Source organism: Homo sapiens, chromosome 11 (assembly GCF_000001405.40).
Source record: "Homo sapiens chromosome 11, GRCh38.p14 Primary Assembly".
Taxonomy (NCBI): domain Eukaryota; kingdom Metazoa; phylum Chordata; class Mammalia; order Primates; family Hominidae; genus Homo; species Homo sapiens.
Window position 1 is genome coordinate 9,823,151 of NC_000011.10, and position 12,393 is coordinate 9,835,543.

Sequence of the window (12,393 nt, forward strand, 5' to 3'; positions counted from 1 at the left end):
AGTTGTAAGTATATGTGTTTCCCCATTGGGCTTAAATGCTACTTTAATTTTAAATGAAAAACAATGTGATCTATTCACTTCTTGCTTTTAAAATGATTCTTAGGTAAAAAAGGATGCAGCCCTTGTATTAGGAACTCACCAACATGCATGCTGAATGCAAAGTGATCACCCTGACTGAAAAAGAGGTGAAGGTCAATTTTAACCCTGGCTCATCAGACCAGGAGAGACACACAGTGGAAATAACATAAGAAAACTTGGAACTAAGACTGTACGACAATGAAAAGAATGAAAAAAATTGTGAAAATAGGGGAGCAAAAAGAAAAAGGCTAGGAAGAAGAACTAGGGGTTAGGGTAAAAAAAAAAAAAAAGAAGAAGAAGAATTAAATGATAGGAGGCTCCTCTCACAGTGGTATCTAACTCTGGAAGAATGAAGAGACTCTGTACTGTGAGTCGGTACAAGGAAATGAATTACTTGCAAGGCATGGGCATGTTTATACCTAGTCTTGCCCTGGCCAGTCTAAATGTGTGTCTGCCTGGTATGTTCACATAACAGAGAATCTTTTGAGACCCTTAACTTGCTTGCCTCAGTTCATTCGTCCTACTTTGAGAAGGAATGACACTATCAGAAGAAACACAGAAAGCAGCTCTAGAGATCACAGAGAATGTTGAAGGTGTCAGGAAACAGCAGTATCTCTTTGTCCAGTTTATCACTGGGACTTCACAAGGTTTTGGAGGCTTTAGGAGTGAAGAGTTAAGAGATGGAGTAAAAGAATGAGATTTGCGTTTCTGGATTTTAGCTTAAGATACCATAATGACAAGCACCTGGTTAGGAGTAAAAAACTGTCATAAGGAAACAAGCCAAATTCACAGTAATTTTCAGCAGAAAGTATTTGAGAAGGGTGTCAGAAATAATATTTATAGCCTCAGATATGCACATAGTGGTCATAAGTTAAATAGGAGATTTTAATCTGAAAAGGTAAATACAGCCTTCTGGGTGCCTTTAGGATTAGCAAAGAATGGAGTCATAAGAATATAACCACTACTGGGAATTCCCTTGTATAAAAGAAGCCAAGAGTTGGAGGCCAGTGTTAAAAAAGAAGATAGTGTAGTTGAAAAAGATTGTTAAGGCCGGGTGCAGTGGCTCACACCTGTAATCCCAGCAATTTGGGAGGCTGAGGTGGGTGAATCACGAGGTCAGGAGATCGAGATCATCCTGGCCAACGTGGTGAAACCCCATCTCTACTAAAAATACAAAAATTAGCTGGGCACGGTGGCACGTGCCTGTAATCCCAGCTACTCGGGAGGCTGAGGCAGGAGAATTGCTTGAACCAGGGAGTCTGAGGTTGCAGTGAGCCAAGATCAAGATCGCTCCACTGCACTCCAGCCTGGTGACAGAGCGAGACTCCATCTCAAAAAAAAAAAAAAAAGAAAAAAAGAAAAAGATTGTTGAAAATCTATGAACCTTGAGTACCAACATAATAGGAGGAGACAACTGTGCAGCTACAATTTATATTATAGGCCACCTGGCCAAATGTTGGAATGGATAACATGGTGACGTGTACAATGGCAAAATACAAGATCAGGTTGTGGGGTGGGAGGGTTTCAATTAACTAGACATCTGCTGAAAGTTGCACTGTCTAAAAGTTGAGTGGAAAAATTACTGACTTTCCTTGCTGACAATGTAAACTTTCATATGGTAAATAAAGCAGTAAGGGGAAATGCAATCTCGAACCAAATTCTGACAAGAGTGCTTAGCAACTGAAATACTAGGAACCTTAGGAAAAAAATCACTGTACCATCTTTTAGTTCAAATTCACTGAGAAAGAAATGATGAGAAGAACGAAGCGTGTATCTTAAACTTTAAAATAATAGTACTCTAAAAATTCAGAAAAATGATATATATGGCTGTAATGGGTTGAAATGTGTCCCCCTCCCAAAATTTATATTAAATCCCAACCCCCAGTGCCTCAGAATATATATCATTAGTTAAGATGAGGTCATACTGGAGTAGAATGGGCCCCTAATTCAATATGACTGGTGTACTTATAAAAGGAGAAATTTGGAGCCAGACACAGAGGGAGAATGCCATGTGAAGATGAGGGCAGAGATTTAGGTAATGCTTCCAGAAGCCAAGCAATGCCAAAGATGGCCAGCAAACCTCCAGAAGCTAGGAGAAAGGCATGGAACAGATTCCTCCTCACAGCCCTCAGAAGGAACCAACTCCCTGACACCCTGATCTTGGACTTCCAGCTTCCAGAACTGTGAGACAATAGTTGTTTAAGCCACCCAATTTGTGGCACTTTGTTACGGTAGCCCTAGGAAACCAATACAACGACTTCAAGGCCTGACACACTCATTGGAAAGATGACTCAAGGAGGTTGAAAGCTCTTAGGAAATCCTGCAATTACAGAAAGTTCTGACGAGGCAGGAAAAGAAAGTATCCAAAAAACCAGTATGACCACTAGGAGATGTGTACGGTTTTCAAAAGGGAAAAAAGTGAATTTTGTAAAGTAGAATCTTTATGTTGATTCTGAACCAAATTCTAGGAATGGAGTATCAATGGACTATTCATAGTTACTTTTAAAAAAAAGCACTGATTCGTATAATAAGTCACAGCAAAATAACCATAAAACCCTTGGTGATGCAGTGAATTGTTTGAAAGACTGGCAAATAGTGGATTAAAACGATTGACAGAGATTTAGAAATATGGGCCTGGTGAGTTTTAGTGGGAAGACTCATAACCAGTATAGATGAACAGACTGATCTTTTTCTTCAGAGGGGTTTATATTATTTTGCTGTAGGTCTTTGTCCTTAGCTCTGGCTTGTTCAACATTTTTTTAAACGAAGAATCACATGAGAACAATGATCAAATGTATGGATGACAAAAGGCTTGAAAACAGCAAATGCACTGGTAGACAGAATCAGGGTCCAAAGGTCTAAAATACCAGTCCACACCCCAAAACATGAAATTTCCTAGTTGTAACACTGCTAGTGGGTCCAAAAAGCAACCATCAAGGCCAGTGTATTTTTAAGAACAATAGCACATGTGAAGCAGACAGGGATTTCAAATGATATTAATCTCCACATGGGTTAACCTAGTGATGGGGCTGCCCATAGCTAATGCAGTTTTAGGCTGTGAGAACACCTAGAGTGCTGGGTTCAATTCTGTGGAGTGTTCAGAGTGATAAGGATGGTGAGTGGACTACAACCATTTCAACTGGGGATATTCAGAGTTAACTAAAGGCAGGAAAAGAAAGTATCCAAAGGACCAAGATGTGTATGGTTTTCAAAAGGGAAAAAAGTGAATTTTGTAAAAAGTGAATTTTGTAGAAAGCAAGCCTGACAAGAGTTTTTCCTGAAGGGTTTTACGTGTGGGAGAGTACACTTACTTTCTAACCTCAGAGGATAGAGCTAGGGCCAATATGTAAAAGTGGTGGTCAATATGAGAAAGCAACACATAGAGTTGCTCACAAATGTAAGGGATTATTTTGGGGAAGAAATGAGTTTCCCATTACTGATGATGTTCAAGCAGAAACAAGATTACTTACTTAGTGTGTGGTGTGTATATATATATATATATATGTGTGTGTGTGTGTGTGTATGTGTGTGTGTGTATGTATATATATACACACACACTTTTGTTTATTTTTTGAGATGGAGTTTTGCTCTTGTTGCCCAGGCTGGAGTGATCTCGGCTCATTTTGCTCTTGTTGCCCAGCAATGGTGCGATCTTGGCTCTATGCAACCTCTGCCTCCCGGTCTATGCAACCTCTGCCTCCCGGGTTCAACTGATTCTCCTGTCTCAGCCTCCTGAGTAGCTGAGACTACAGGTGTGCACCACCACGCCTGGCTAATTTTAGTATTTTTAGTAGAGACAGGGTTTCACCATGTTGGCCAGGCTGGTCTGGAATTCCTGACCTCAGGTGATCTGCTTGCCTCAGCCTCCCAAAGTGCTGGGATTATAGGCGTGAGCCACCGTGCCCGGCCTACTTAGTATCTTTTTAAGGGAATTCATCATTATATGGGGGTGAGAGGAAGAGTCTAAGATTCTGTGACTCCATTGTGAGACAGTGGGACTTCACAGTTGAGATATCTGGGGCCAGGTGCTTTCTCACGCCTGTAATCCCAGCACTTTGGGAAGCCCAGGTGGGAGGACTGCTTCAGGCCAGGAGTTCAAGACCAGCCTGGGCAACATAGTAAGACTCTGTCCCAAAAAATATTTTAAAAATTTAGCTGGGAGTGGTGGCACACACCTGTAGTCTTAGCTCCTTGGGAGCTTGAGGCAGGAGGATTGCTCAAGCCCAGGAGTTGGAGGCTGCAGTTAGTTAGCTATGACAGTTCCACTGCACTCCAGCCTGGGCAACAAAGTAAGACTCTGTCTTAAAAAAAAAAAAAAAAGAATCTGGTCTGGAATTTCCTCTGCAGAGTGAAAAGAATCTCACATAAACTTCCAGAGAACAAAGTGGATGACCTTTTGGAGCTTAAAAGAATGAATACTTAGCCTTTCTCTATTTCCTCATGTCAGCAGCTACCTGGATATCATGATGTCTTATCCTCCAAACCAGTATTTCAGAGGACAGGAGCAAAAATAACAGGACTTGGAGTTCCTTCGATCTGGAATCACTTCTCCTTAACTATCTATACTTCTGTGATAGATTGGTCTTTCTGCCCTGCAAATCTGGAGTATCAGGGAGTACTCCCAGGGCTGACTCATCATTTAGACATGCTCCCCTTACCTCTTAATGCTCCCAAACTTATCAATATATATGACATCAGCAATTATTATACTTCTTGTCCCACAAGGCTAAGCTCATCTGTCATCATGCTAGTAATACATTTGACCATTCATTCAGAAGAGGGTAATTAAGAACAATTTGAATCATAATTAATTGATTTAAAATATCAACTATCTAGAAAAATGCTTTCTGCTTTTAAGCTTGCATCAGTGCTCAGTTATAAAATCAATCTTACTAACCTCCTTGAGCAAAGCTATTGGATGGGTTTACATCCAAATGTCCTGGCACTACCTGCTTAAGCACAGTGGACATTCTTGAAGTCCTCCTTTCAGTCCCTAAAGTCAGCCAAAAAGAAGAACAAAAACCATGTTGTTTGGGTTAACATTACTCAAATGACAAAAAGTTATCTTCAGGTGTAGCATGTTTAACTGCTGCCAAACATTGTACTTTTAAGTACCCAAAGCTTTATTAGAGATAACAAGGCAATGTTATTATTAATCAGAGATAACACACATTTGCAAGATTATAGAGAGTTAGGTTTGGCAAGTGCAATCAGAGAATTTAATGATAAATGGAGCAAGGCATGCATGGTGTTATTTTACAAGAAAAGCCACTTTCTGCTTATGTTGAGCTAATTCAAATAGCTGATTAAGCCAAAGAGACCAACTTCTCAAGTCACATGCTCCTGTGTCTAACACATTAGGGTTACCTCTACATGAACCCTTTGGGGTTCCATCACATGATAACTGAAACAGAATATTAGTACAAGTCTTAATGGCTTCATCCAAATCCAGTGAAAACAAATTGTACTGAAAATCATAATAGGCTGCAGATATTTTGGGAATTTCAAACTTATAAATGATGATTTTAATAAATACACATTTAACAAACATGTTCCACTTACATATTCCATGTCATAAGAATATTTTAAAGTCTATGAAAGATAAATATGGGAATAAAGGGTGACTTTATTTATATTTCCCACTTCCTCTCCAATTACTCTTTTGAAAAGGAAATAACTGAGCTGGGTATGATAAATATGGGAATAAAGGGTGACTTTATTTATATTCCCCACTTCCTCTCCAATTACTCTTTTGAAAAGGAAATAACTGAGCTCACACCTCACACCTGTAATCTCAGTACTTTGGGAGGCTGAGGCGGGAAGACTGCTTGAGCCCAGAAGTTCGAGACCAGACTGGGCAACACAGTGAGACCCCATCTCTTAAAAAAAAGAAAATAAAACAAAAAAGAAAAAACTGAATCTCTAAGTTAAGTTACTATTTACTAGACATTAATAGTGGTAGATTTCTAAGTAAAAGGAGTTAAACTTATAACCCTTCAGGGTAAAACTTTTAAGAAGTCTTGGTGAAGGAACAGTACAAATAACAAATAACAGTACAAATAACCCTAGGAACAGAACTGACCTTTCATTAGAAGCTGTCAAGAAGAAAAGTATTATCAAATCTTACCTGGAGATAGAGCAAAGGCTGGCCTGACAGTAAGAGTGCTGTTGCCTCTGAGTTTCTGATGGACAGAAACAGCATTCAGTAAGGCTTGCAAGTATTTCTCTTGTTCTATGCTACTGGAAGATTCTAAAGAGGAGGTAGGAGCTATAAAAGGAAAATATATTGAATAAAATAAACTGTCTCTGTGTTAACAAAACAAGTATCTATCTATCTATCTATCTACCTATCTATCTATGCTTATTTTTCTCTATATAGTCTACAAGTTACCACACCCAAATATAGAAACCAGCCCCACTTAAATTGCCAGTCTATTAAATGGCTAATCCTCCACTGTAATGCTGGTTTTACCACACCTACTTCTTGATTGCCTCATTATGCTTCCAGAAAGAGCCCAGGTCTGGAAAACCAGCACAGGGCTACCCTTCCAAGCACAGATTGGGCTTGAAAGCACAGGGCATAGCTTCTCATTATCCAAGCAACTCAAAATGAAGATTCATGAACAACAACGCCTTGATGATATCCCCCAACCATCCTGACCAGGTTATTGCTTGGGAGTGGGTTCCTTTGACATCCCAGAATGGGTAGAGTTAAGAACTTTCCAATACCAGCAACTTTATTTCAATTCTGCCACACAGGCCCACCAGGGGACATGAGCCTATAAAGATTTGTAGAGGGAAGAGTGGAAGAAGATGGGGAGAAGATAGGAGCAACTACTGCCAATCCCTGGTCCTTCTAAATGAGGAGCAAAAAGTATACACAATTGTGAGAGCAATTCTGGGTTGATGGGCATATAAGCCTGGTTTGGGTGAAGCAAAACAGAATCACTGAAATCGGCCCAGACAGTTTAAAGAGGACAGGGGATGGACTCACTACAAGGACAACAGATATTCATAAATTTTCTTACAACTTGAATAGAAAATAAATAATTAGCATTATTGTATTTTATCAACTTTAATATGTCATCAATTCTAAGACGCACTGTTATTTTATTGCCTAACAATAAAAACTGCTTATCAATTAAAAAACTGCCATTTAAACTATGACACTATTCTTTCTGATCACATCAATTGTAAGATGCATTGCAATTTCAAAGATACTAGTTGTCAGCCAGGCGCAGTGGTTCACGTCTGTAATCCCAGCACTTAGGAAGGCTGAGGCAGGCAGATCACCTGAGGTCAGGAGTTCGAGACCAGCCTGACTAACATGGTGAAACCCCATCTCTACTAAAAATACAAAAATTAGCTGGGTGTAGTGGCGGGCGCCTGTAATCCCAGCTACTCGGGAGGCTGAGGCAGGAGAATCGCTTGAACCTTGGAGGCGGAGGTTGCAGTGAGCCAAGATTGCGCCATTGCACTCCAGCCTGAGCGACAGAGCAAGACTCCAGCTCAAAAACAAAAAAAAAAAAACAAAAACAAAACAAAACAAAAAACAAAAAACAAAAAAACCCTAAAGATATTAGTTGTGAGTAAATGTGGAAGTTGAATATGAAATATAGTAAATTTAAATTAGATTTAAAAAAATCAGCAACCAGTGGAATAAGTTTCAATTGTTTTCCAACTAAAAGCTTAGTGATACGCTTATCGGTGCTCCCAAAATCATTCACTCATTTTACATAACATATATGCTTGTGTTCTATTTTACTATTATTTTATTTCATTTTTTTTGAGACAGGGTCTTATTCTTTCACTCAGGGTGGAGTGCAGTGGTGCAATCGTGGCTCACTATAGCCTTTACCTCATGGGCTCAAGTGATTCTCCCACCTCAGCCTCCTGAATAGCTGGGACTCAGGCACGTGCCACCACGCCTGGCTAATTTTTGTATTTTTTTGTAGATATGGGGTTTTGCCATGTTGCCCAGGCTGGTCTTGAACTCCTGGGCGCAAGCAATCCTCCCACCTTGGCCTTCCAAGTAGCTGGGACTACAGGCATGAGCCATTGCACCTGGCCCCTTCTTATGTTCTAACATACCCACCAGGTGGCTTGGGAGCACACAGTGTTTCAGAGGAGAAATAGTAAACAGCCAATTGCCTTCAATTACACCAGTAGTGAGACTTCAAGGCAGGTGGAAGGCTGCCCTCAGTCAACCTAATGATCAAAACATTGGCTGACTTTCAAAAAGCACATGGTTGTACCTGGTGAATCACAGATTCTGAGTTTACTTCATTTCCAAAGGTGGAAGAATGCAGCCATCCCTAAATCGGATCTGATATCTTAGTGGCCTACTGTTTCATTTTTTTTGAGCATCTATTATGAGGCAGAAGCTATGAGAAAGGTCAGCAAAATACAGCTCCTGACTTCAAGACCTCAGACATGGTACTCACAAGTATCCTCAGAATATGGGACAGCTGTACTTATTATTTCGCTAGCTTCCTAAAAACCTCTTTGCTTGAAAGATCCTGAAGCAGCATTTGCAGTCATTAGTTTGCTGTCTTGTGTGTGCGTATGACTTGTAAGAGTGAGGATGGATATCTCATATCACATGGCACAGAAGCTCATCTTACCTCTGAAGCTGTTAAATGTATTTGGATGCTTCCCAGGAGAAAGAAAAAAGATTGGTATAACCTAGTTTCCATCTGTGAATACTCTGGTTTGCTGGAATGAAAATTGCCTAGGACCAAAGACTTTATTATATTAATTTCTATTAAAATCCAAGTACAGACCAGACATATTAAGATGTCAAATTCAATGTGGAGCCTCACACTATCAAGTATAGTTCTTGTTTAAGCTGTACATGTTGCATGTAGCAAAGTGGAAAAGTTTGTGTGTGAGACAAGACTTGATGAAAAGGCACCATTCCCAGATTTTACTTCCTTTATTTTTAGCACTGTCCTTATGTGAACGGGTGGTAATTGTGTTATAGAGAGATGCTTACCGGCCTGAGGGGAGTTCTGAGATTTGAAAAGACCAACGACTCCCTTCCCATGGAATCCTCCAGATCGGAGGAGCAGAGTACCACTTCTTGAGTTCTTCCAACATACAACAGGCAGGCGATTGTGTCGATAGCAGCGAGCTACTCTTGGTAAACTACTGTCCTGTACAGCTTGAGGTACGACTAAAAGGCCAGGATAGCTTCAGAGACATAGAATAGAGAAGAGAATGATTGGGGGAAGGAACAGAGGGGAAGAAAAGGGGAAAGGAAATGAGAGAAGAGGGAGACAGAGAATATAAGAAATTGAATACTAATATCATAGTAATTTTCTAAGATTCAGAAACATATTAGTTGAAGGGTAAGATATATTTATTTTCTTTTTTAATTTTATTTTTATTTTTGTAGAGACAGGGTCTCACTTTGTTGTACAGGCTGGTTTCAAATTTTTGGGCTCAAGCGATCCTCCTTCCTCAGCCTCCCAAAGTGCTGGGATTATGGGCGTGAGCCATTGTGCCTGGCCAACATATTTCAAATATGGAACTTAGTTTCAACTTCTGAATTCTTCAGGGATTGAGAAGAAAATCCCTAGATGGTGAAAATAGCTAACTCATCCACTGATCTGTAGTCTTTTTTGAAAAGAGCCCCATTCACTGATATTGCAGACTTCTGTTGAATAAACTTAGAAAATAAAAATATTATGTAGAATTCTTTAAAAGGCCTCTGTTGAACTATTTCCCTTGCCTTATACATTACTTTTCCACAACTTGAAATAAAGATCGTAAGATTACCAGATTAATGTCAACTTTATGAGAATGACAAGTCAAATTGTAAACAATTCATAGATCACTGAGATGACATTAGAGAATACAGCATGCCAATATTAGACTGCCTGAGATGGTGAAAGGCTTAAAAACCAAAACCAAATTATTTTTGGCATGAGAACAATTTGTTCAAATGTCAAATGAGTTTAAATAGTTAATAACACTACATGTTGATACTTATTTTAAAAGATTAGCTTATAAAGTTACAGGATATGATGCTGGGAAAATAACATGTAAGAGTACACACAGATTAATAAATGCAAGAAGACAGGCAGGTTTCAGAGTCATTTCTTTTTTTTAGTTTAATTAGAAATATTACACAAAACAGATTTTATATTTATAACCTCCTAACCACTAATCCTATATCTTTTTTTTGGTGATTTTTTTTTTTTTTTTTGAGATGCAGTCTCGCTCTGTCGCCCAGGCTGGAGTGCAGTGGCACGATCTCGGCCCATTGCAAGCTCCGCCTCCCGGGTTCACGCCATTCTCCTGCCTCAGCCTCCCGAGTAGCTACGACTACAAGCGCCTGCCACCATCCCTGGCTAATTTTTTGTATTTTCAATAGAGACGGGGTTTCACCGTGTTAGCCAGGATGGTCTCGATCTCCTGACCTCGTGATCTGCCCACCTTGGCCTCCCAAAGTGCTGGGATTACAGGCATGAGCCACCGTGCCCAGCTGGTGATTTATAAATTTTGGGAAAATATACCTAACATAAAATTTATCATGCTATCCTTTTTTTTTTTTTTTTGAGATGGAGTTTCACTGTTGCCCAGGCTGGAGTGCAATGGCGTGATCTCAGCTCACCGCAACCTCTGCCTCCGGGGTTCAAGCAATTCTCCTTTCTCAGCCTCCTGAGTAGCTGGGATTACAGGCATGTGCCACCACGCCTGGCTAATTTTGTATTTTTAGCAGAGACAGGGTTTCTCCATGTTGGTCAGGCTGTCTCGAACTCTCAACCTCAGGTGATCCACCTGCCTCGGCCTCCCAAAGTGCTGGGAGTACAGGCGTGAGCCACTGCGCCCGGCCCATGGTATCTTTTTATTTATTTTATTTTTTATTTATTTTTTGAGACACAGTTTCGCTCTTGTTGCCTAGGCTGGAGTGCAATGGTGCGATCTTGGCTCACTGCAACCTTCGCCTCCTGGGTTCAAGCAATTCTCCTGCCTCAGCCTCCTGAGTAGCTGGGATTACAGACATGTGCCACCACACCTGGCTAATTTTGTATTTTTAGTAGAGATGGGGTTTCTCCATGTTGGTCAGGCTGGTCTCGGACTCCTGACCTTAGGTGATCTGCCCGCCTCGGCCTCCCAAAGTGCTAGGATTCATGCTATCCTTTTTTATGTGTACAAACCAGTGGCATTTAGTACATTCCCAATGTTATGCAACTACCACCACTATCCATTTCCAGAACTTCTTATCCCTTATCTTGATAAGAACCAGTGCTGACAGGAGGGAAAGGAAATCTAGTTTATGGTCACATAAATCATAACCTTCAACTACTTTACTGAATGCCAAATTAACTTTCCATACTTAACCAATGATAACTTGGAAGCATTCTGAAAGCCTAGGGCTTTGGTGATCTAGGAAGCTGTGGCCTGAATTTTTGTAATACCACAAACTGATGAAAAGACCAAGCTATAGACATAATCACTCATGAAGACTGAAAAGGCAGTTCCATAATTAGGACCCTCTATCTCCACTTGAATATCAGTTTTTCCCAACTTGCTTCAAGATACAATGTGTATTAGACAGGGAAATAATGTTTAATGGTTCCAGGAGCTACTTCAATAATCGGTAAAGAACGAGCACACTCCTTCACTCCCTGCCCCCTGTAGTGAGCCATCTCCTTCCACTGTGAATGAGCACTACACACAGACCATCCTCTGTTACATACAAGATCTATGGCTCTCTCCTGCTTCCTGACATGGGCTTGCATGACAGCTGGAGAGCCCCTCATGCTGGGGCAAATTGTGTGAAGCCTAAAGACCAAGAGAAGCTACTCCCAGTACCAGTCTCATTTCGTAATGAAAGATATCAATTTCCCTGCCACCCATCCTAACCCACTACTCAGAGCCTTCAGCTCTGGGCTCCACAGTTAACTCTCAAGAGGTAGACTAGGCTTCAGAAGCTGTTGTGGAAACTTTTTAATTCAAGCATAATTCACATACAAATGCTCAAAACCTAGGTGATATCACTACCACCTAGGTCAAGAAATTGACCACTACAAGCATCCAAGATCTAGTATTTCCTCCAAGTCACTATTTATTCTTCTTTCTTAAAGATTACCACTATCCTGCCTGGCATGGTGGCTTACACCTGTAATCCCAGCACTTTGGGAGGCCCAGCTGGGAGGATGGCTTGAGCCTAGGAGTTTGAGACCAGCCTGGGCAACATAGTGAGACCTCTTCTCTACAAAAATAAATAAATAAAATAAAAAGAAAATTAGACAGGTTTGGTGGCATGCGCCTAGTCCCAGCTACTCAGAAAGCTGAGGTGGAAGG

The 12,393-nt window shown here is 40.5% G+C and overlaps 1 protein-coding gene across 8 annotated transcripts in view; it reads right to left on the minus strand.

The window, feature by feature from the left end:
- SBF2 (SET binding factor 2) overlaps nt 1-12,393 on the minus strand; it is a 526,174-nt gene that overhangs the window by 44,483 nt on the left and 469,298 nt on the right. For 4 of the 8 annotated variants that reach the window (NM_001425070.1, NM_001424318.1, NM_001386342.1 and 1 more), the window contains 2 exons: nt 9,074-9,270; nt 6,206-6,346 (listed from right to left, as the gene is read on the minus strand). In NM_001425070.1, coding sequence (NP_001411999.1) covers nt 6,206-6,346; nt 9,074-9,270 — 338 coding nt within the window. Of the gene's footprint in view, nt 1-4,975; nt 5,072-5,180; nt 5,483-6,205; nt 6,347-9,073; nt 9,271-12,393 lie in introns of those variants that run through there. The other 4 variants (NM_001386339.1, XM_047427657.1, XM_011520395.4 and 1 more) reach the window with 3 other exon arrangements.